General features: G+C 33.0%; 1 long non-coding RNA gene across 1 annotated transcript; it reads left to right on the forward strand.

Moving 5' to 3' along the window:
* The first annotated feature begins 4,540 nt into the window (after nt 1-4,540).
* On the forward strand, nt 4,541-22,983 carry LOC107986953 (uncharacterized). The gene is made up of 3 exons (XR_001745983.1): nt 4,541-4,623; nt 21,717-21,812; nt 22,947-22,983. It is a non-coding gene; the product is annotated as an uncharacterized LOC107986953 (long non-coding RNA).
* The last annotated feature ends 1,024 nt before the right edge of the window (nt 22,984-24,007 follow it).

The following is a 24,007-nucleotide window of genomic DNA, read 5'->3' on the forward strand; positions in this document are numbered from 1 at the left end:
CCAGTAAACAAGGTCAGCGCCCAATACAAGTCTCCTGGAGTTAGAGCATAAAGTCTAGGAGTTGGGAACTGAGCACTGACCTGCTAAAATCTTACAGAAAAAAAGCGAATTGGCTGAACTCACCTTATACTACAATCAGCTCCTCAAGGGCATCAAATAGGAGAAAAGAAAATAACACCCATCCAAAGATCAGCACCTCAAATATTGAATGAAAATAATCCCACAAAAATGAGAAAGATTCAGCATAAGAAGCCTAACAACTCAAAAACCCAGAGTGCCTTCTTTCTTCCGAACTGGGCTGAGATGGTTGAAATGACAGAATTAGAATTCAAATAGTAATAGGAACAAAGATCATTGAGCTACAGGACTACATTAAAAACCAATCCAATGAAGCTAAAAATAATGATAAAACAATGCAGAAACTGACAGACAAATAGCCAGCATAGAAAAAAAAAACCATAAACTGATTTCATAGACCTGAAAAAAATTAAAAAACACTACAAGAAACACTATAATGAAATCACAAGTATTAATAGCAGAATAGAACAAGTGGAAGAAAGAATCTCACAGCTTGAAGAGTGACTTTCTGAAATAAGACAGACAAGAATAGAGAAAAAAAGAAATAACAGGAACAAACAAAACCACTGAGAAATATGGAATTATGTAAAGAGACCAAATCAATGACTCATCGGTGTCCCTGAAATAGATGGGGAGAATGGAACCAACTTGGAAAACATATTTCAGGATATCATTCATGAGAACTTTCCCAACCTTTTAGAGAGACCAGCATTCAGTTTCAGGAAATGCAGAGAACCGCAGTAAGATACTTCACAGGAAGATCATTCCGAAGACATGTAATCATCAGATTCTCTGAGTTTGAAATGAAAGAAACAGTGTTAAAGGGAGCTAGAGAGAATGGTTAGGTCACCTACAAAGGGAAGCTCATCAGACTAACAGTGAACTTCTCAGCAGAAACCCTACAAGTCAGAAGAGATTGGGGGCCAATATTCAACATCCTTAAAGGAAAGGATTTTCAACCCAGAATTTCATATCGAGCCAAACTAAGCTTTACAAGTGAAAGAGAAATAAGATCCTTTTCAGACAAGCAAATACTGAGGGAATTCATTACTACCAGACCTGCCTTACTAGAGCTCCTAAAGGAATCACTAAATATGGAAAGGGAAGACCATTACCAGCCCCTACAAAAGCACAGGTAAGTACACAGATGAGAGAAACCATAAAGCAACCACATTCACAAGTCTGCAAAATAACCCCGCTAACATCATGATGACAGGATCAAATCCACACATATCAGTACTAACCTTGAATGTAAACGGGCTAAATGACCCAACTAAAAGGCACAGAGTGAAGCTGGATAAAGAACCAAGACCCATTGCTATGCTGTCTTTAAGAGAACTATCTCACATGCAATGACACATACAGGCTCAAAATAAAATGATGGAGAAAAATCTACCAAGCAAATGAAAAACAGAAATAAAGCAGAGTTTGAAATCTTAGTTTCAGACAAAACAGACTTTAAACCAGCAGAGATTAAAAAAAAAAAAAAGGGCAAAGAACATTACATAAGGATAAAAGCTTCAATTCAACAAGAAGAACTAACTAACCTAAATATATATGTACCAAGCACAGGAGCACTCAGATTCATAATGCAAGTTGTAAGAGACCTTCAAAGAGACCTGCACTCCCACACAATAATAGTGCAAGATTTTAACACCCCACTGACACTATTAGGCAGATCATTGAGACAGAAAATTAACAAAGATATTCAGGACCTGGAAGCCAGCACTGGATCAAATGGACCTGATAGACACCTAAAGAACTCTCCACCCAAAAACAACAAAATATACATTCTTCTTATCACCACATAGTACATACACTAAACTAGATAACATAATCAGAGGTAAAACACTCCTCAGCAAATGCAAAAGAATGCAATAAACATATACGTGCCTGTGTCTTTATAATAGAAGGTGACTCTGACGTGATACCAATTTGTGTAGTCTGCAGAGTGAGACTCTGCCTCAAGAAAAAAACAAATCAACAGCAGTAGCGTGAGTCAGGAAAGATGACTGCACTATACAGAACTTCACTGAAGCTTTGCTCACAAAAGTCACTTTTACATTTATAAAAATAATTTCCTTATCCAAAGAACAGCTAAAAGACAGTTCTTTTCACAAACTGGCTCATGTCTCTAAATAATTCAGAAGTTAAAGAGAAAGGAAATACCTGAGATGATAGGTAGTTAAAGAAATCTGGAGTGCTGTCCTGTGAGAGATGTAGGCTTTGCTTGTGTGGGCCAAAATTAAAGAAGAAAGGTAAAATGCAGATCACTTTGTCTAGGATTCCACTCGGAGGCACACCCATGAAACAATGTCATCCTACATTGCTATATTTCAGTTACTGAATTAATACCCAGTGGACTGAGCTAAATGGAGTCATTTTCAATGTGAGAATAAGAATGTGATGAGATGTCCCCCCTCTTCAAAATGCTACTAATTTGCTCATCTAAAATTTAAATTAAAATGACGCCAAATGACAATTACCTAGACACCTAGACAATACATGATTGTTGTAGGCAGTTTAAAAAAAAAAGCAAAAAAACAGAAAAACTATGTTCTGTTATACAACTTAAAAAGGAAAAAGCGGCAATTTTCTGCACTTCAATATAAACAGTTAGCCTTTGCAATATTTCCTAATGGACAGTTTCATTTTAGAATTAGGAAGCAGTGAATAGAAATGTGTAGTATTAACTTTGAATGAGATTTATCCAATATGAAATCTTTCTATTTTCCACAAGGTGTTCAACTTTTTCTGTAAACAAACTTGTACTTATAAAAATACAAGTTTTAATTCTTTATCACAAAAAAAGCATCTGGATGAAAAATGCTAAGATATCAATCTAAATAAGTCACTGTAGAACAAAGAAAGACTATATTCTAACATTCATATTTTAAATCTGGAGCTGCATAGACATTGCATTTAGTTGAATCAAATATGAGAAAGCATATTGCTGAGGCTGAGAGGTCAAGGTAAAACTGTGCAGTTTGATTTAACTTATTGCTTCTTTCCCTAACAAAAACAGGAAAACATTTTAATGTGTATTTCTTTAAATAAAAAAGGGATATTATTTCTATGATTAAATTGCAAAATATTTATAACTTACCAGAGCCATTCAAATTGGAAAAAAATAAAATACATTGAACAACCCTTACCAACCTTCATATTTCATAATTGCAGAGGCAAACAATAAGCAATGAATCTGACTAAACTCTAGCTTTCCATTTAGATCTACATCATGGCTGACAGTTCAAGAAAATTGATTTAAGCTTCTCACTGACTATGTGCCAAGTATGTGAATTTCTTGAATAATTTTATCCTTTTACCATAACAGTTTTAGGCTCCCAATTATTAAAATTGCACAGATAAGAGGAAAAGTGAGAAATAACGAGACACCACACCAGCTGTGCTGAGCTATTTAGGCTTACACAGCTTGAATATTAAATTATACAGAAGGTGAAACAGTGTAATAAACATGAAAAGTATCTTAGTGCAGAGAACTGTTCCAGTCTCTGAACTAATAATGGTATTTTTGCATCTCTGGCCACTGTGGTGAGTGGACAAATCACATGGTCATGTGCTCAGTGTATCTGGAGATTCATCCTTCATTGGACAGATAGCACAACAAATGTTATATGACCAGATTCCCCCAAAGCTTTAACTAGACTGTGCTGTAAATTAAGAAGCTTTGGAAATTGTTTTGAATCTCAATGATCATCAGGGTGTCAGCTCATTTAATATGAGGAAGTAATAAATTGTATTATGCTCTGATTGAATAATTTTTTTTGAAGACGCATTACTGCTAGTGTGCTAAATAGGAATGTGGAGAAAAGAATGAGTGAAAATATCTTTTGAAAATGTCTAATTTACAGCAAGGGCATAGTTTAGGCACAAGAAGGATAACTGGAGTTATAAAAAGGCAACAGTGAAATTTTATCATGCAACTACTTAGTGGGGTGGCAAGGGTAGAATTGAAAACTCATTTAAAAATAAAATCTTTTCATAACTATGTTTGCTTGCTTTTTGAGTCTTATTTTAAATGTCACTTTACCCTTCCATTCCTATTTGTGTTCTTGTAGTCTCTAGTGCTTTTTGTTGGTCCTCAGACTCAGCAGGAGGAGAAATTGAGGCCAGTTTAGTTGATGGTAGTCAGACTTCTTAATCCAAATCCAGTTGAAGGTGTTGATAAAATAATAATTAATGACATTCCTCTGGATATTTCTTAATGTCAGTCCTAAGAACAAAGAACATTAAGGATTAGACGGAAAGGAGGAGGAGAAAACAGAGAAAAAGGGAGAGGAAGAAGGTGAGAAACAGGAGAAAAAAACATGAGAAAGAAGCAGCAGAAGAGGAAGAAGAAAGAGGAAGAAGAGGAGACAAAGGGAAAAGAGCAGATGAGGAAGAGAAGGAAGATAAAGCTCAGAAAGAGTAAAGGGAGAAGGTGAGGGAAGAGGAGAAGAAGGAGGAGGGAAGATATTTCTTACAAGTACCCTGAGAAAATGAGTAAATTTTAGGTCCAGCAAGAGGAAGCTGCAACGAAAAGGGGTAAGTAGAATGTTTAAGACTGTATTCATGACCTTAGTCTGGAAAATTCTTCCCACTCTTTTCTTGAATTACAACTCCTTTACACATTTACCTTGATTAACTCTCGAACATGGTATAAATATCAGCATACACATTCCTTCCACAAGGAATTCTCTACTCCTCAAAGATGGGATAGATACTCTCCTCGTATTTCAATTTTTCTGTGTCCCCACTAGATATTACTTCCCTAACAAAAGAGATTATGTGATTTTTGAATGCTGCATTCCCAGAAATTTTGAACACTTCTTGGATGTAAATCATTAGTTTCGCTGTGGCTTTTGTAGAATTGTAGTCTTCTCTAGATGTCTTTTTTTATCTGAAAGTGCTTAATAAAGGTTTAATTTTAGAATAGTTGTAGACCTACAGAAATGTTGGGAAAATAGTACAGGCAGTTTGCTTATATCCGCAACTCAGTCGTGACAATTATTATCATCTTACATTAGTATGTTATAATCATCATGATTAATGGACCAAAAATGATACATTATTATTGACTATAGTACATATATTATTTAGATTCCTTCATATTTTACCTTACGTCACTTATTGATTACACAATTTCATTGAGAATGCCATATTACATTCTGTGGCTATATCTTCTTAGGCTGCTATAGACTGAGTTTTTCAGAATTTCCTTGCTTTTGATGACCTTGACAATTTTGACGACAACTCTTCAAGTACTTTATAGAATTCCCTAGGTTTGTGGCTTGTCTGATGTTTTTCTTATAATTACTTTGAGGTTATACTTTTGGGGAAGGAAGATTATAGAGGTAAAGTGCCACTCTTATCACATCATATCAAGGGTACATGCTAGCAACATGGCTTATCACTGTTGATGTTAACCTTGATCACCTGGCTGAGGTAAGGTTTGCCATGTTTCTCCACTGGAAAGTCCCTCTTCCTTCCATGCTACACTATTTAGAAGAAATTCACTATGCACAGCAAACACTTATGGAGCTTGTTTTTATTTTAGATTCCTCAGGGATTTTCACATAGTCATGTAATCATGAATAAAACCAATATTAATTTTCCTTTCCAGTTTTTATAACTTTCATTTCTTTTTCTTATCTCTTTCCACTCAGTGGGCCTTCCAGTACAATGCTGACTAGGAGTAGTGAGAGAGGACATCCATTTTATTTTATTTTTTTATTTTGTTTTATTTTATTTTATTTTATTTATCGTATTTTATCTTATTTTATCTTACTTTATCTATCTTATTTTATCTTATTTTATCTTATTTTATTTTATTTTATCTTATTTTGAGACGGAGTTTTGCTCTTGTTGCCCATGTTGGGCTGGAGTGCAATGGTGCAATCTCGGCTCACTGTAAACTCCGCCTCTCGGGTTCAAGTGATTCTCCTGTCTCAGCCTCCAGAGTAGCTAGGATTACAGGCATGCACCACCACACCTGGCTAATTTTTGTATTTTTAGTAGAGATGGAGCTTCACCACGTTAGCCAGGCTGGTCTCAAACTCCTGATGTCAGGTGATCAACCTGCCTCAGTCTCCCAAAGTGCTGTGATAACAGGCGTGAGCCACCAAGCCGGCCCCTTGACCTATTCTTGATCTTAGAGAAAAACAGCTTGGTCTGTCACCATTAAGTACAACATTAGGTATAAGTATCCATAAATCTTTATTAGATTAAGAAAATTCTCTACCAATTCTAATATTGTGCAATACTTTATCATGTAGGGGAATTGAGTTTTGTCAACTGCTTTTTCTGCGTCTATTGATAGGATCTTTCTATTTTCTTATTTATTCTGCTAAGATGATGAGTTACATTGACTGACCTATGAATGTTTGATCAGCATTCTTTGTTGGAATGAAATCCATGTAGTCATGATGTATTATCCTTTTTAGGTATTGCTTGATTAAATTGATAAGATTTGCTATGGATTTTGGTGTTTAGTTTCACAAAGATTATGCCCTGTGGTTTCCTTTCTCATAATGTCTTTAACTTTTTTGGTATTAGTGTAATGCTGGCCTCATGCATGTTCACATTCCACTGCTAAGTGCATACATATTTAGAGTTGCTATGTCTTCTTGAAGAATGGTACTGCCCCTCTTACTCTCTGATAATTTTCCTTATTCTGAAGTCTGCTTTTCTGAAATTAATATAGCTAGTGTCATCTTTCTTTTGAATAATGTTAGGAAGGTATATTTTCTCTTCCTCTTTACTTTTAACCTACCTGAACCATTATATTTAAAGTGGTTTTCTTATACACGACAAAATAATTGACTCTTTTTTTCATAATCCATTCTGACTCTTTTTTTCAAAACCCATTCTGAGAATCTCTCTTGGTATTTCGTATGATTTCACCATTCACATTTAAAATAATTTCTACTATTATTTGATTACTATTTATGTGCTTTGTAACTATTTCCTTTTTAAGTCAAGGAATAAAAGAATGGACACTTGATAGCAAGAGTGGCCTGTTTGTTTCTGTTTTCTGTTCATTACATTTGTAAGTTTCTTTTTTCCATTTCTACTTTTAACTAAATATTTTATCTTTTCATTTTTCTTGTCTCTTAGATTATCATTTAAGTTTAGAAAACTCAGTGGTTACTGTATTGTTTAAAATATAGTGTGAAAATAAGTACACGCACTTCCGAATAATGCTATGTGACTTCACGTGTACTATGAGAAATTTATGACAAAGCATTCCCAGTTCTTCTCTCTCTTTCCTTGTGATATTATTATCATTTATTTATTTATTTTTATGCTATTCTGATTCAGTACATTGCATTTATTTATGTGTTTATACAAATAGTTTTCTTTCAGATCAATTAAGAATAAGAAAAATAAAATATATTATTTTACTTATTTTATTACATCTTTAATACTCGCTTTTTCTTTATGTATTGCCAAGTTTCTGACTTATTTCATTATTCTTCTGCCTGAAGCAACTCTTTTCATATTTCTTGCATAACAGGAAATCTGAGAGAATCATAACACTTCAGTTTTTAGTTATCTGAGAAAGTCTTATTTCTACATTTATGAAGAATAATTTTACTGAATATACAACTCTAGGTTGATCAATTCTTTGTATTTTTCTTTCAACACCTTGAAGATTCCATTCAACTCTTTTTTTCCCTGTAGAGCTTCTGATTTTTTTTACCTGAATTTACAGTAGCACATCTAATATAATTTTTACCCGTGTTTTTGGATAGGTAAGCTTCTCTCCTCTTCTTGTTTAGATTCTGTCAAGATCCTTTTGTTGTTGTTCATTATTTTCTAAATTTTAAATATGATATGTATAAATGTTTTGATTTTGTTTTTGGAATTTATGCTTCTCAGTGTTCTCTGAGCTTCCTGGATCTCTGGTCTGGTGTCTGTCAATATTTGTGGACAGTTTTCAGACATCATTACTTCCAATATTTCTTCTCAGTGTTTTTCTTTTTCTTTCACTGTGGCATTCATATTAGGTGTTTGCTATACCTTTTGATATTTTTCCATAGTTCTTGGAGGTTTTATTCTGTTTTTGTTTAAAACAAATATTTGCAATAGAGTTTGAGAAGTTTATGTTGACCTATGTTCAAGTTCATTAATTTTTTCCTCAGCAGTGTCCAGTCTACTGATAAGCCTGTTGGAAGCATTGTTCTATGTTACCACAGTTTTGATTTTTAGCATTCCCTTCTGACACTTTCTTAGAGATTCCATCTTTCCTAACTTTACCCATCAGTTACTGCGTGTTGTCTAATTCTTCCCTTTAACATATTAATCAGTCATAGTTCATTTAATATCCTTGTGCGAGAATTTCAACATATGTGTCAAATCTCAGCCTGGTTTCGATGATTGCATTGTCTCTTGTCATGGCTTGTATTTTTTTCCACAGCTGGATATGTTGTGTTAAGTTACAGAAACTCAGACAAATAGGCCTTTACTGTGAGGACTTATGTTAGTCTGAGTACAAATTGTGGTCTCTTTTTGATGTAACTATGGGCACCAGAGCCTTTAAATTCCTCCAGTGTCTTTGATTTTGATATACCCTCTTGAATCTAAGTCTTGCAGCTCTTTCAGTTACAGTCCACTGCTCTTATTCTGGATACCTGTTGGTGTGATAAGATAGGGGAGATGGGAAACATTCTATCATCCTCCAAGTAAATCTCAGTCTTTTAGTAGACCTATTTACTAAAAGATTGTGGCCTTCACAAATATTTCCCCATGGTTGTAACTTTTTGCCCCCCATGACCAGTCAGCATTGCATATCTTTTTCCTTGAGGCCCTATCTGCTGTTATGCTGATTTCAGTTTTGTGTAATTTTGTGTTTCCTATTAAGTGTCATAAGAAGGCTGGAAAAGACTGGAGTGATGAGTTATTCTTTTCTTCCAGTTGGGATAAAATTTTAGAATTGTACTCTGACAAAGCCCTTTCCTCTGGATAGTAGCTCTTTTTTATGGAGAAGGCACTGAGCTTATTTCACAAAAGTTATGCTTCCTCTCTGCCTGCTAGGATTGTGGGGGGGATTTTATCAGATCCTTGGAATGGGAACCTGGTGAGGTTACTAGAGGAAAAGTCCATGCAAGTGAGAATACCTGTGTAAGACTGCAGTCCTAAAGAGTTACTCTGCCTCACACTATTCCACTCATAGCCTCTAACAATTCTTCAAAACTTCCATCTCAGTGTCCCAATCAACCTATGGCTCCAGTGGCTTCTCTTCCAGATATGCTGCTCTCTCTTCAAGTACCTCTCTGGATGCTCATGATTTGATGGGTGCAAGAAATCATTAATTTTTGGTTTGCCCATTTTTTGTGTTTGTTTGTTTTTGGTAAAGACAGAGGTGACAACTTCTGTGCTGATACTGGATATATCTTATATTTCTTTTTGAAAGGAGAAAAACTCCCATTTTTTTAACTAATATCTGGTTCATGTTTGTAATCTAGAGCCAAACTGTCCTTATAAACAATGACAGATCTTTGACTAACAGACATGGGGCTGCTTGTAGGTGATGCCATGTTTTTTTCCTGATAGAGAGTGGTCAAAGTTGGGGCAGAGGTTAAGAAGTTTTTGTAATTTGTATAAAGTACACAGCTATTTATAGTTTTATTATGGTTCTAGGAATACACAGGGTGGAGACTTTTTTTTCATTTTTCAACTCCATCAGATGTTGCTTCTCTGATCTTTTCTTTGATTTCCCCTTTGATTTCAGAATTAACTGTCTTGCCATCATTAGAGGGTTTCATAGAAGTGCTGAGGAATAAGAAATTAACTATCTCCCTTGATTTCCAGAAATGGTTCTTCAATTAAAATAATGTAAGAATCATGCTATAAAAAATTAGAAGTGTTCACTTCTCCACATCCTTCTTCACTTATTAAATATTGTTTATTTAGTTAACTTCAAAGTTATTAATGCATTCAAATACCAACATTGCATGCACTAATGTGCTTAGGTTGAGTGCAATGACTTTCTTTTGCTAAGAGTTAAAAAAATACTTATAGCACTGTATGTCAATATTATGAAATATAAAATTGAAAAAACTATTGAATATAAAATTGAATAAAATATAGCTACATGAAGGGAAATAGAAGGATGAAGGCCAAAATAATCTGTTTTATAAATAATTCAAAATTTGACAAATATATGCAATATCTTTTCTACATCCTGAAAACTAGAATATTGTCAAAATATTTATTTTTGCGTCCTGGGATTATGTGCTTTAGACCATACTGTATCATAAAGATCATTTATAAACTGTAGAACATGTGAGGATATGAATTCTAATCATACGTTTACTGTTTGTCATCAATTACATCTCCAAAAAATGTATGTGCTCTGTTAATTTTCGTACGTATTTTGTTTTCTCCTCATAATAGCATTGGGAGAGAAGTAATATTATTATCATAATGTTATAGATGGAAAAACTGATACATGAATTTTGAACATGTTAACAATTACTCTTCTAGTAAATGATAAAGTATAATTATATTTAATAATTGGCATGATTGAAATCCATATTCTCATCTTCTCAGCACTCAGAATGGAGGCCAAATGTCTGTCATTTTAGTAAAGTAAATGACTTTAACCCATCTACATAAAGAAAAAAATGTTTTTAGACTGGGTCAAAAAGCAAATCTCAAATTAATGTTTTATATTAAGAATTAGGCCTTCTTTTTATTTTTGGCTTAGCTCAGTCACTGCTTTAGTTATATGCTAAGTGTTGATTCCTGCTAATGTTTTACTTTTATTTTTCTTAATATTAGACAAGAAAGAATTTGACCCAAACAGTATTAAATGTTATAAAGCAGTAAATATTAAAATTCACATATTTTTGATTCCAGTTATTAAAATGACACACTCCAAACTTTGCAAGTAACACTGAAGAACAAATAGGTATAAAATATATGCCTCAAATATCACAGCAGCAAATTTTGTAAAGCAGAGACTGTAGAAGATACAAGGAAAATTAGAGATATTTTAATATTAGGTTGGTTGTGGTGGTTTACACCTATAATCTCAGCACTTTGGGAGACCGAGGTGGGATAACTGCTTGAGCCCAAAAGCTTGAGACCAGTCCAGGCAACAAAGTGAGACTTTGTTTCTAAAAAAAAAAAATTAATTAGCCAGCTGTGGTGGTGTGCTCCTGTATTCCCAGCTACTCAGAAGTCTGAGGTGGGAGGATAGCTTGGGCCCAGGGAGTTGAGGCTGCAGTGAGCCATGATTGTGCCACTGTATTCCAGCCTGGGTAACAGAGTGAGATGCTATCTCAAAAACAAACAAACAAACAAACAAAAAACAAACAAAAAAAACCCAGAAAAGTAAAGGCAACATATTAATATTAGAAGGCAATTAATTATTTACCTCCCTAATTAAGAAAGATGAAGTAGCCAAAAATAATGAAGGTTTAATAATCAAACTTTGAAACATGAAACATTGAGAATACAACTTTCTGCTAACTATACCTTGAATACTTATGAAAATTACTATATATTAAAATAATTGAATGCCTCGATATTTTCTAAATTATGAAAAGTGCAGATATAATTCTGATCTTAATGTATTATACCTGGAAATTAATGATAATATAAGGAAACTAGCTTTTTTCCCCCTTCTTCAACAAAGTTTTATTGTGGCAACACAGCCAGGGCTTAGAGCTGTTTCTAGAGTTCCCTTTTCTTGTATGTTTCTGTGTAACATCTAGCCAGAAATGGAACTTTCATAAAATTTGAAAGGGGGGAATGAAAAAGGAGCCAGTATTATCACAAGGTTATGATAGCCTGACAAGGTCAGAGGCTTTACTCTGCTACAGGTCTAATTAGGCTTCTGGACTGCTGATCCTTCTGATTAACAGCCCTACCCACCCTACCCTTCCAATTGGTGCTGTACACTAATCTATGCAGGAGCTACACCAAAGACACAGCTCTCCAAGAATTGCCAGCTCATATTAGTTTTGTCACAATTGTCTATTTTGTGGTCCCATTTGGGCAGCTGGCCATGCCTGGTTTTTCACATTTTTCCTTAAGCTCCAACTTTTCTTTCTGTACTACTGACTTAGGATAACTGATTGCTTACTTTTTACTTGATTCTCTCATTTATTTTTCAGATTTTTATTTCCAATTTTTAAATAAATTCTAAAATATACCTTTTATTTCCATAATTCTTATCATGGATCTAGAATTCTTATCGTGGCTCTGTTTGTCTGACAGAACTCTGGACCATACGCAAAAGAAAATTGCCTACTTTCTCTTAAAAACAAATATCAAAACAAAACACAAATCAAAATAGAAGGTATACCTATATTTATATGTGACAAAATAGACAACTTAAAGACTGTAAAAAGAGACAAGGTCACTATATAATGATAAAGGTTTCAATTCAACAAGAGGATTCAACAATTATATATAATCTATGCACCCAACACCAGAGCACCCAGCTATATAAAGCAAACACTAATAGATCTGAAGAGGGAGATAGAGTAACTGCAACTCAATAATCGTAGGGCACTTTAACATCCCACTCTCAGTAATGAAGAGGTCACTCAGACAGAAAATCAAAAAAGAAACATCAAAGTGAAACTATACTGTAGCCCAAATGGACTTAACTGATTTTACAGAACATTTCACCCAATTGCTATAGAATACATTCCATCTACACATGGAACATTCTCTGGAATAGAGCATATCTTAGGCCAAAAAAACAAGGCTTAATAAATTCAAAAAAGTAGAAACTATGTCAAGTATCTTTTCTGATCACAATAGAATAAAACTAGAAATTAATAACAACAGGTCCTGGAAACAATAGAAATATGAGGAAATTAAACAACATGTAATTTAATGACCAATGAGTCAATGAAGATACTGAGAAGATTATTTTAAAATGTATTGAAACAAATGAAAATGGAAACAAAACTTACCAAAATCTATGGGATATGGCAAAAGCTGTGCTAAGAGAGAAGTTTTAACAATAAATGCCTACATCAAAAAAGTAGAAAGACGTCAAATAAACAACATAATGATGCATCTCAAGGAACTTACCCAGAAACATACGGGAAAAGGGAATTCTGGAACTAGAAAAATAAGAACAAACCATATCCAAAACTAGTAGAAGAAAAAAGTAATAAATATTAGGGTATAAATAAATAAAATTGAGACAAAAAATACAACATATCAACAAAATTAAAACTTGCTTCTTTGATATGACAAACAAAACAGGAAAACCTTTAGCCAGACTAAGAAAAAAAAAAAGAAAACCCAAATAAATAAAATCAGAAACAAAAAGGAGATATCACAGTCAAAACGATAGAAATACAAAGAATCATTAAAGATTTATGGATGACCATATGCCAACACACTAGAAAACTCATTAGGAATGGTTAAATTTCTGAACACATACCACCTACCAACATAGAGCCATGAAGAAATAGAAAACCTGAACAAACCAATAATGAGTAATGAAATCAAAGCCATAATAAAAAGTCTCCCATCAAAGAAAAGCCCAAAATATGATGGCTTTACTGCTGAATTCCACTAAACATAGTAAAAAGAACGAATATCAATTCTACTAAAACTCTCCAAAAAAAACTGAAAAGGAAGAAATATGTTCAAACTCATTCTACAAGGCTATTATCCTGATACCAAAACCAGATGAGGACACAGCACCAAAAAAAAAAAAAAAAAAAGAAAAGAAAAAGAAAATAATAGGCTAATATAATTTATAAACATAGATCCAACAATTGCCAATAAAATACTAGCAAACCGAATCCAACAGCACATTAAAAATATCAGTCACCATGAATAAGTGTGATTAATCCCAGGGAAACAAGGATGATTAAACATACACAAATCAATAAATGTGATATATCACAATAACAGAAACAAGAAGAAACATCATATGATTATTTCAATAGATATTTAAAAAGCATTTGAAAAAAATTCAACATCCATTTATGATGAAAATTCTTATCAAACTGAGTATAGAAGGAACATATCTCAAAATAATAAAGGCCATATAGGACAAACCCACAATGAACATCATACTAAATGGGGAAAAATTGAGAGTCTTTCCTCTAAAATCTGAAACAAAAAAAGATGTCCATTTTCACCAGTTTATTCAACATAATACTGGAAATCTTGGCAAGAGCAATTAGGCAAGATAAAAGAAATAAAGGGTATCCATATTGGAAAAGAAGAAGTCAAATTAGCCTTATTCACGGATGACATGATTTTATATTTGGAAAAACACAGTCTCTACAAAAAAAACCTCTTAGAACTGATGAATGCATTCAGTAAGGTTGATGGATACAAAATCAACATGCAAACATCAGTAGAATTTATGCACACCAAGTGTGAACTATCTGAAAAAGAAACTGAGGAAGTAGTCTCATTTACAAAAGCTACAAAGGACATAAACTGCCTAGAAATTAATTTAAACAAGGAAATGAAAGATATACACAAGGAAAACTGAAGAAATACTGATGAAAAAAATTGATCAGGAACCAGAAAATAAAAAGCTATTGAATGCCCATAGATTGGAAGAATTATTATTGTTAAAATGTCAATAACGACCTAAAACAATGTGCAGATTCAATGCAATCTCTACCAAAACATCAATGGCATTGATCACAGAATTTTTTTTTAAGAAGTTAACATTTATATGAAACCACAAAAGACCCCAAATAGCCAAAGGAATCCTAAGCAAAAAATCAAGAACAAAAACAAAAACAAAAAAAGCTAGAGGCATCATACCATGTGATTCAAAATACACAACAAACAAAGCTATAGTAATCTAATCAGTATGGTACTGCCATAAAAACACACATAAACCAGTGAAACAGAGTCAGGAACCCAGATATAAATGAATTCACTTACAACTAACTTTTATTTTCAACAAAGGTGCCAATAACAGACAATGGAGAAAGGGGAGCCTTTTCAATAAATTGTGCTGGGGAAACTGCATAACCATATAGAGCAGAATAAAACTAAACTGCTACCTCTCCTATATACAAATACCAAATCAAAGTGGATTAAAGACATAAATCTAAGAAGTAAACCTATGAGACTATTAGAAAATAAAACATTTTTTGTGGGGGAAATTCTGGGACATGCTCCAGGACATTGGTCTGGGCAAATATTTTTTGTATAAGGCCAGAAAAGCACAAGCAACAAAACAAAAAATAGACAAATGAGATTACATCAAGCTAAAAAGCTACAGCACAGCAAAAGAAACAATCGACAAAGTGAAGAGACAGCACACAGAATGGGAAAAAAAATGTTTGCAAACTATCCATCTGACAAAGGATTAAGAACCAGAATATATTAGAAGCTCAAACAACTCTATGGTGAAAAAATACTTTTATTTTTAAATGGAAAAAAGATATAAATACACATTTTTTTGAAAGAAGACATACAAATGGCTAACAGATATAAAAAAAAAATGCTCAACTTGACTAACCATCAGAGAAATGCATATCAAAACCACAGGGAAGCCAGACTCAGTGACTCCACACCTGTAATCTCAGCATTTTGGGAGACCCAAGAGGGAGGATCACATGAGGCCAGGAGTTGGAGACTAGGTCTCTATGAAAATAAAAATAAAAAACATTAGCTGTATGTGGTAGCACATACCTGTAACCCCAGCTACTTGAGAGGCTGAGTTGGAATGGTGGCTTGAGCCCAGGAGTTCAAGTCTGCAGTGAGCTGTATTATGCCACTGCACTCTAGCCTGGGTGACAGAGTGAAATCCTGTCTCTAAAACAAACGAACAAGCAAACAAACCACAGGGAGATATTATCTCACCACAATTAATATGACTTTTATCAAAAAGAGAATGATGAAATTCTCACAAGGATGTGAAGAATGAGGAAACCTCATGCACTTTTGGTAACAACATAAATAAGTAAAGCCACTATGAAAAATAATATAGAGGTCCTTCATAAAACTAAAACTAGAACTACTATATGATCCAGCAGTTCCACTACTGGTTATATATCCAAAATAAAAGGAAATCAATATATGAAACAGAAAGCTGCGCTACCACATGTGCACACTTCACAATAGCTGAAACAGGAAATCAACTTAAGTGTCCATCAATGGATGAGTGTATAACAATAGTGTTATATATACACAACAGAATAATATTTAGATATATAAAAGAATGAAATCCTATCATCTGTGACAACAAGGATGAGCCTAGAGGACATTATGTTAAGTGAAATAAGCCAAGCACAGAAGGACAAATATTGCATGTTGTCACTCATATGTGGGAGCTAAAAAAGTGGATTTTTTGAAGATAGAGTAGATTGCTGATTACCAAAGACTGGGAAAGAGAAGAGGGCTGGGGGAAGGGGATGAAGAGAGGTTGATTAATGGTTACAAACATACAATTAGAAGACATATAAGACCTAGCATTCATCAGATCAATAGAGTGACTATAGTTAACAATAAGTTCTTATACATTTCAAAATAGCTAAAAGAGAATAATTTAAGTGTTCCTAGTATAAAGAGAAAAAATATTTAAGGTGATGGATATCCCAAATACCCATATTTGATCTTTTTTACACATTACATGAATTGTCAAAATATCACATGTATCCCCAAAATATGTATCACTATGAAAAACAAATAAAGCAAAACACAATAAAAATAATAATGAAAACACTACTTACGAAAACCTACAAGATATTGCTAAAGCAGTATTTAGAGAAAATATTATAACTTCGATCATTTCCGTAGGAAAAAAACCTTAAAAATTAACAATTCATGAAATTCCAGTAAGGGAAAATATGTTTAAAAGAAACACAGGAGGAATGAGGAGTTGATAAAGATAATAATGATTTAATAAATAAAAACATAATCATAGAAATAATTTATCAACATATTGAATAATATTATAGTACATTGTAATCAGTTGAATTGTGTTTCAGGGATAGAAAAGTGGCTAAATGTTAGTAAATCTCTCAATATAATCCATCATATATAATTATCCATGATATAATGATCATTTTTACGACAAAATAATACGATGTTCATAGAAGCCTTCTTTATGCAGAGGTCTTAAGTGAATGTAAGCTTAAGAAGACATGAATCATTGGGTATTAAAAAAAGATACAGGGTCATTACAACCCTGAAGGTACATGTGTTTCAGCAAAAGTAAGATGTACAGAACTCTTATAGAGCAGTTCAGAAATGATGACACTTCGGCCTTTTATATGGAAAAATGTCCATGTAGGGACAAGTCAAATGTGTGTGTTTTGTGAGTGTGTGTGTTTTATTAGTGTGTGTATCAGCATGTATGTATATGTGAGCATGTATGTGTACACATGTATATTTGAGTTTGTGTGAGTGTATGGATGGGTGTATAGGTGTACATGTTGGCCTGAGTGAGATCAAAATTTGAGGTTAAGGAACCCACAGGGAGAAACTAATGTATACTCAGGAACTGTTCTTGAAATTTTAAAGACTTTTTCCTGTTTAATATCTATAAGATATACATGAAAATGTTGTAATTTATGTCTATTTTACTGATAAGAAAACTAAGGCTCAAAAACTTTGAAGCACCTTAATCACATCCACAAAGAGGATAAGTACCAGAAAGATTTTGTCAAATTTAAAATTAGTAAAGCATTTTCATATTTGCATTCTTCAGAAATTACTTCTTGAATTGTATGGACAGATTGAGGTACACTTATTGAATTGGTTATAATTCAACCATTCAGTTTCAATAAAATGACTCAATTTTATCAACCTTTATATTAGCTAAGCACAGTTTTTGGGCAAACTATGTTAGTTAACATATCTTCACAAAATTTCTAGAAATATTTTTAATATCCTGTTTTAGAAATATAATTATGTTCTAAATATGCTGAAGTAAGAAATTTGCAAATTTCTTACTTCAGCATATTTAGAACATAATTATATTCAATAACATTTTTATGTCATTAAATATAATAAAAAAGATAATTCTGTGATTTTTTGATCCACTAACAATAACTGGTAAGTCAAACTAGTAATATACCTTTTCATTAGTCAGCAAGAAAACCTATTTTATATTTATTTATTTGACTTTTAACCTCACTACAGGGCCTCTTATTTCTTTCAAAGCAAAATTAAATTGCATTTCAGGTTGAATTATTTTATTTTTTATTCAGTATGTGAAAAATATCATCTTGAATTCTATGTAACTGCAGCCCTGTGAAAATATCTAAAATGCTATATTTGGAAAGAACAAGGATCAATTGTCACTAGAAGCAGTGTGGGTTTTATTTCATGACTTTTTAAATACAAAAAAAAAACGTATAAAGAATAATATAATAAACACCAATGGATTCACCAGAGAGTTTAAGTTATAATGTGTAATTTGACAGAATTTATATTAAATGAAATGTTAAGCACCTGGCAGACATTTAAAATGCACATTGATACTTAAAAACAATTGGTTCTTTTGCCTTTTTAACAAAAAAATGGAAATGGGATTTCACCCTCAGACTTGCATAGATCTTTTTTACACAAGAGACATATGGTTTTGTGTGCCAAGTGTCAAACTGACTCTTCTTGTCAATTTGGGAAATGACTATTTGAAAATTTACTATTGACCATCTGTTCTGCTGACAGAGTGGCAGGTGTTCCTATTTTGCTTTACCAAATCTTAATAATTTATTGAAGTTTAATGATACTCATGGAGATATAAAGATTGTTGTTTTGGTTCACTAGTTGCACAGCATAAATGTTTTCATAGGAAAGACCTACATGATTTAATTCTAATATAATTATCTGTCTTCAGTAGCCTTGTTTACATGTGGAAAAGTACAAGTAATCATTTTTAATGAATGCCTAATATAACCAGATTTTTTAGTTGGATACAAATTAGAAACGTTCCAGTTGATTTTTGTGTGAATATGTCTATAGCTTCTTTGCATCTATATTTGCATCTCTCAATATTTCTTAATTATTGTATTATTTTCTGATAACTTTATTACAATATGTTTGAAATGCTTATAGATGTAAACTGTCATGCAGGCAGTTCTCTGAAAAATGAGTAGACAAATAACAATGAATTCCCTTAAACACATAGTAGACTGAAGTGTTACTTAACCACCTATGTTATTTTCAGGCACTGAGTAATATGAAAATTTGCACTACTCTTTTTAAATTCATAATGAAAATTTAATTAAACCATGTAACAGCTAATAGTGTTACATACAATAGGATTTCTCACTATTCACAAAATAGGATTATAGTAATATTTCCAACCCTAAAAACTGGTCTTATTTTTAATAATTGCATTATTTTTATAGTTATATTGTTATTTTTGTTTGGATAAATGTAAAGGGTACAAGTGCAGTTTTATTACATAGATATATTGCATAGAGTCTAAAAAAAGAATATACCATGAGTATATACTTGATAGAAATATGATAATTCTCCTTCTCATATAAAAAATATATGTTCACTCTGGGTAGGGAAATACATTGGCTCTCCAAGAGAAATCTTCCATGCAGTTCAACTAAAAGTTCAAATAAAAGTTCAAATGTCTTTTATTTGACTCACAACAGTATCCTTTGGCTAAAGAACAAAAAAAAACTCACCCCTAAGGAAAGGCTAGATTATGTCCCCTCTCTGAACCTTGTGAATTGGTTGTTACAATGATCATAATGACAGCATTAACTATATTACCTAAGAAAGGGAGGATACAAATTATGTATAATATGCATAAATTAAGCCTTTATCTTTCTCAGCAATTGCTGTAATGTGAAATAAAGACAAAGATGAGATTACTATTCGTTTTTTCTTATGTAAGCCTTCTAACCTAAAGAATGTTGCAATACTGTTACATACTTATAAACTATCAAGGCCATATGGCAACAAAATGTTTTAAGATAAAACAAAACTTTCACATATAATGTCCAGAAAACTGGTTAACACAGTATGATTTGCCTTGTTTCTATATTAGTTTCTTGTTTATTTGTTTTTAATATTCACCAATCTTAAAATCAATTGGGAACCAGAGGCTGAATTTTTTATTCATTTATTATTATCTACAGTTCTCAGTACACATTAGGTAAATGGCACTGGCTTAGGGACTGGTGATTATATAACCTTTGATATACATGACTTTACACAAAACCGTGGTGGCCGAAGAATAAAGAGTAGCTACGATTTTTGAAAGGTGATGCATGCATAATGGATTTTAAAGAACATATGTATCTAATCTTGGATTTTTAAAAAATAACATTTTCTTACACAGTAAGAGATTAGCATTATGAATTCCCATATACTTAGCATTAAAAACTTATCATAGTTTGACTAGACTTGCTCTAGTTACCCGTCTTATTTTATATTTGCTAAAACATTTTAATCAACTCTCAAACATTATACCATTTTTGTCCTAGGTATTTTAATATTCATCTCTGAATCCTATGCCAATCTTCTTACATAATATTAATGAAATTAACAGTGTATTTGGGGGAGTTATCTAATCCCAATCCATAGTCAAATGACTACACTGTCAGAAAAAAAAAAAAAACATGTCTTTTCACCGAATTTTGTAAAAATCGGGTTCAAAACAATGCCAACATTGCATGTAGTCATTAGATTTCAAATGCCATTTAATATGCAGCAGCCCTTTTGCCCCTTTCTTATCCCATTATCTTTTAAAAGAAACTGGATTCATGATATAATACCCTAGGATCTGGATTAGTCTGTTGACTTCTTTGAAATGTTATTTCACTTGAATTTCTTTTCTAGTTTCGATATTTCTAGACAATTGAAAGTTATCTCCAATGACATGAATAGAATCATGCTCATTCTTTTTCTTTTAACAAAAATCCTTCAAGCCTGGGCTTCATATAGCAGCACATCAAGAGTTTTAAATGTCTGGTTTTCCCACTCTAGGGTTACCAAGACTGAAGACTATTTAGTGAGTCAGGTAGCAACTGCCTGATCTGTCCTTGGTAAAGCTCCACACTGATTTTTTCCCCCTAAGGATTTCGCCTACTCATGATCTTTCCTGAATAAAGCATTTCATTTAATTGGAATTTTTATTTCTCAAAAATCAACCCTCCAAATGGCTTGCAAAATTTCTGTATTAAGTTCCAGGGTAAGATTTCCTTTTACTCAACAATTTGAGATTATTATACTTAATGGTGAATGTCGATCTTTACCACATATTTTGTTTTATCAAGTAATTGAACATTTTACATCTGATATCTAGCTGGGATAGAGTAATTCCCAATCCTTAAATATGATAATTTTGATACTCTTCTCAAAACATAGACTTACTATCTTCTTCGATATACTATCCAAAATATTTACATGCCATTTTATTATTGACAAATCGCAGTCTTACAAATTGGACCCTAGACAACACTATTCTGGCAGTGGCTATTTTTATAATCTTGTGGATAAATCTGTAAGTAGTGATAAATATTGACCTTTTCTTTGCCTTTGATGCTCTGTACAGGAAAAATTTATCAACAATGCCACTTGAAATAAACAGATATTCATCCAACTGGGGTTTTCAAATATATTGTATGTCAATCTACAATAAAAATTAGGGACATTTATTAACTTATTCTTTAGGTCATTTAGCTAATATTTATCTAACTATTATTGTGTGCTAGGAACTGCTGATGAATAAGGCACAGTCACTTTCCTCAAGCTACTTGCAATAAAATGCGGTTGACTGACACATAAAAAGGCAATTTAATATGAGTGTGGTAAGTGTTATAGTAGGAGCAAGATAAGTTTCTGTTATAAACACCTAAAAGAAGGACGTTACCTAGCTTTAAGAAATAATGAATAGGGCCGGGCACGGTGCCTCACGCCTGTAATCCCAGCACTTCGGGAGGCTGAGGCGGGCGGTTCACGAAATCAGGAGATTGAGACCATCCTGGCTAACATGGTGAAACCTTGTCTCTACTAAAAATACAAAAAAATTGCCGGGCATGGTGGCAGGCGCCTGTATTCCCAGCTACTCGGGAGGCTGAGGCAGGAGAATGGCGTGAACCCGGGAGGCGGAGCTTGCGGTGAGCGGCGATCGCGCCACTGCACTCCAGCCTGGCGACAGAGCGAGACTCCGTCTCTACATAAATAAATAAATAAATAAATAAATAAATAAATAAATAAATAAATAATGTTATACAATGAGTTAAGTTATTAAATCATCTAGACATATATTTTGTGATGACCTTATTTGAAATGAAGCTCAAAGTGAAAGCGCATTTTACAATAGTGATTTACTAAGATTCTAGATATTATGTGATTTTTTTTTAATAGAACAGACATAATGTCTGCTGTGTGTAAACCCCAAGTATCTGTTTTGTTTGTTTATTTGTTTGTTTTCCATTGGGAGGGGTATCATACATTCTCAACTATCTTTATGGAGAGACTCATAACTCTTCCAAATGGTCTTTCCATGGTCTTCCCCCAAGTAAAAGTAGGTTGGCCTTTCATTTAAGCAAATACCTTGTCAGGCTGTTCCATGTATTGTATTAGAAGATCTCAACTTCACCTTATTTCAGTTTCCTCTCCTCATCTGCAGCTGATGATATTCACTACCTTGTAAAGTTATTTTAAGAATTAAACAGAAAAAAAAACCAAGGAAAGTGTTAGTACAGTGCTTTGTACAGAGTAACATTTCAATACAAATTATGTATTTATCATCATGTTGATTATTTGATTATTAAAGTTTGTGGCTCTGGTTATCTGCAAACAAAGAATTGTTATATTCTCTATGTATTTCCTTCAGAAAATATGGCTTCACATTCATTGCCACTTAAAATTAATTAGCTTGGCAGTAATCATATGTATGAAAGATTGGCTAATAATATCTAGTCAATTTATTTTTCTAGATAGGGACTGGCGCATGTGTTTTATCTCGGATGGAAGCTGAAACTATTTAGTACGGTCTGCCTCCTGCACTGTTGAGGAGGAGTCTGAGGCCACAATCAAGTTCAGAAGAAAAAAGAGAGAATAAGCAAAAAGCATGTCCCCTATGTGCCATTCTAACATCTAAATACTCTGAAATGAAGTCTTGTAATAAATCAGAAAAGAAAGGAACTACAAATTTGAGTTCCCTTATTTTGACACAGAAGAATTAGTTTTTGCTGAAGTTATCTATAAGCTGATGCCCTCTACACTAAGAAACAGGTATTTCCAGGAATAGTCCTAGATGACTCATTCTTGTATTTACTGGCAGAAAGTTTATAAGTACATTGTTCAGACATTTATACAACATCTAGCTTCACGAGAAGTGCAAGGAGAAAAATGTCTTTCTCTTCTTGTTGCCAGGAGCAACTGGGCTTATCCTGGGCAATTGGGTTGATGCTAAGAATCTTGTGAATGTTGATGACTCCCTTTTTATTTTTACTATTAGAAACTTTTGAGACTTTTTTTTTTGTTCCCATGCTAGCAAATGTATTGGGAGAGTTTTGCAGAATTATTTTTGTTTTGTAACTTCATTCTTGGCTTCACTTTTCTATTTCCTGTGCTTATTTTGCCTTTGTTTATTATTCTTTATTCATTTAATACTTATTTTATATCATTTTCTTGTGTGTGTATGTATGCATACATGTATATATGTGTGTGTATTCATACAGACAGACATATACATATATGCATATATAGACATTATATATAAATGTATCAACTTAATTTTCCCTGGAATAAGGCAGAGTTTGCCTAAAGAAGTACAAAATTAACAAATTTAAAATGCTTACTGCAGGCATTTTTCTTGTAGCATGGGTTTTTACAACTCTTTGAAAAATGTTTGAGTACCTATCATCTTCTAGACACTTTGGAAAATGCTCGGAAGCCCGCAGTGAACTAGTAAAGGGAAAATAATTGCTTTAAAAGACAATAGCAATTTAGAGGTAGTGTTGGAGGAAATAAAATAAACTTTGTAGGAATAACT

This window comes from Homo sapiens, chromosome 8 (genome assembly GCF_000001405.40).
Source record: "Homo sapiens chromosome 8, GRCh38.p14 Primary Assembly".
In the NCBI taxonomy this organism is placed as follows: Eukaryota; Metazoa; Chordata; class Mammalia; order Primates; family Hominidae; genus Homo; species Homo sapiens.